Genomic DNA, 473 nt, shown 5'->3' with positions numbered 1-473 from the left:
CCCATTGCTGTTTCCCCCAAAATGGGGGGCAAGTTCCCATGGATCTAGGACTTGGTATTCAGGGATGAACAAACCACCAGACCTATACCTGATAAATATCGATGTTTACTTTCTTGGTAAGTTGTTTATGTTAATATCATTACAAAAGTGTGGATATGTAACATGTTCACACGGTTTGACGTCCAAACTGCTATGAAAAGGCATTGATCACAAGTCCCACTATCCATGTCCCAGGGATCTCATCCCCCTGATCCCTAGAGGAACAATTAGTTTCTTGTGTATCCTTCTAGTATTTCTTTATGCAAATGCATAAAGCAATCTGTATTTGCTGACATAGATGCTGTTCTTTTTATTTATTTTTATTTTTATTTTTTGGGACCCAGTCCCAATCTGCCACTCAGGCTGGACTGCAGTGGCACAATCTCAACTCACTGCAACCTTCGCCTCCCAGGTTCAAGTGATTTTCCTGCTTC

General features: G+C 41.2%; 1 annotated feature.

Annotated features, from left to right (window-relative positions):
* Window positions 294-473: a silencer, noted in NCBI's record as "fragment chr7:101349551-101349730 (GRCh37/hg19 assembly coordinates)". NCBI's record gives its function as "represses an EF-1alpha promoter that drives an FKBP-Casp9 reporter gene in an ReSE screen in K562 erythroleukemia cells {active_cell/tissue: K562}" and the evidence as "EXISTENCE:reporter gene assay evidence [ECO:0000049][PMID:32094911]".

Source organism: Homo sapiens, chromosome 7, assembly GCF_000001405.40.
Source record: "Homo sapiens chromosome 7, GRCh38.p14 Primary Assembly".
In the NCBI taxonomy this organism is placed as follows: Eukaryota; Metazoa; Chordata; class Mammalia; order Primates; family Hominidae; genus Homo; species Homo sapiens.
Note: the sequence above shows the minus strand (reverse complement) of the source record. Positions and strands in the feature narration are given on the sequence as shown.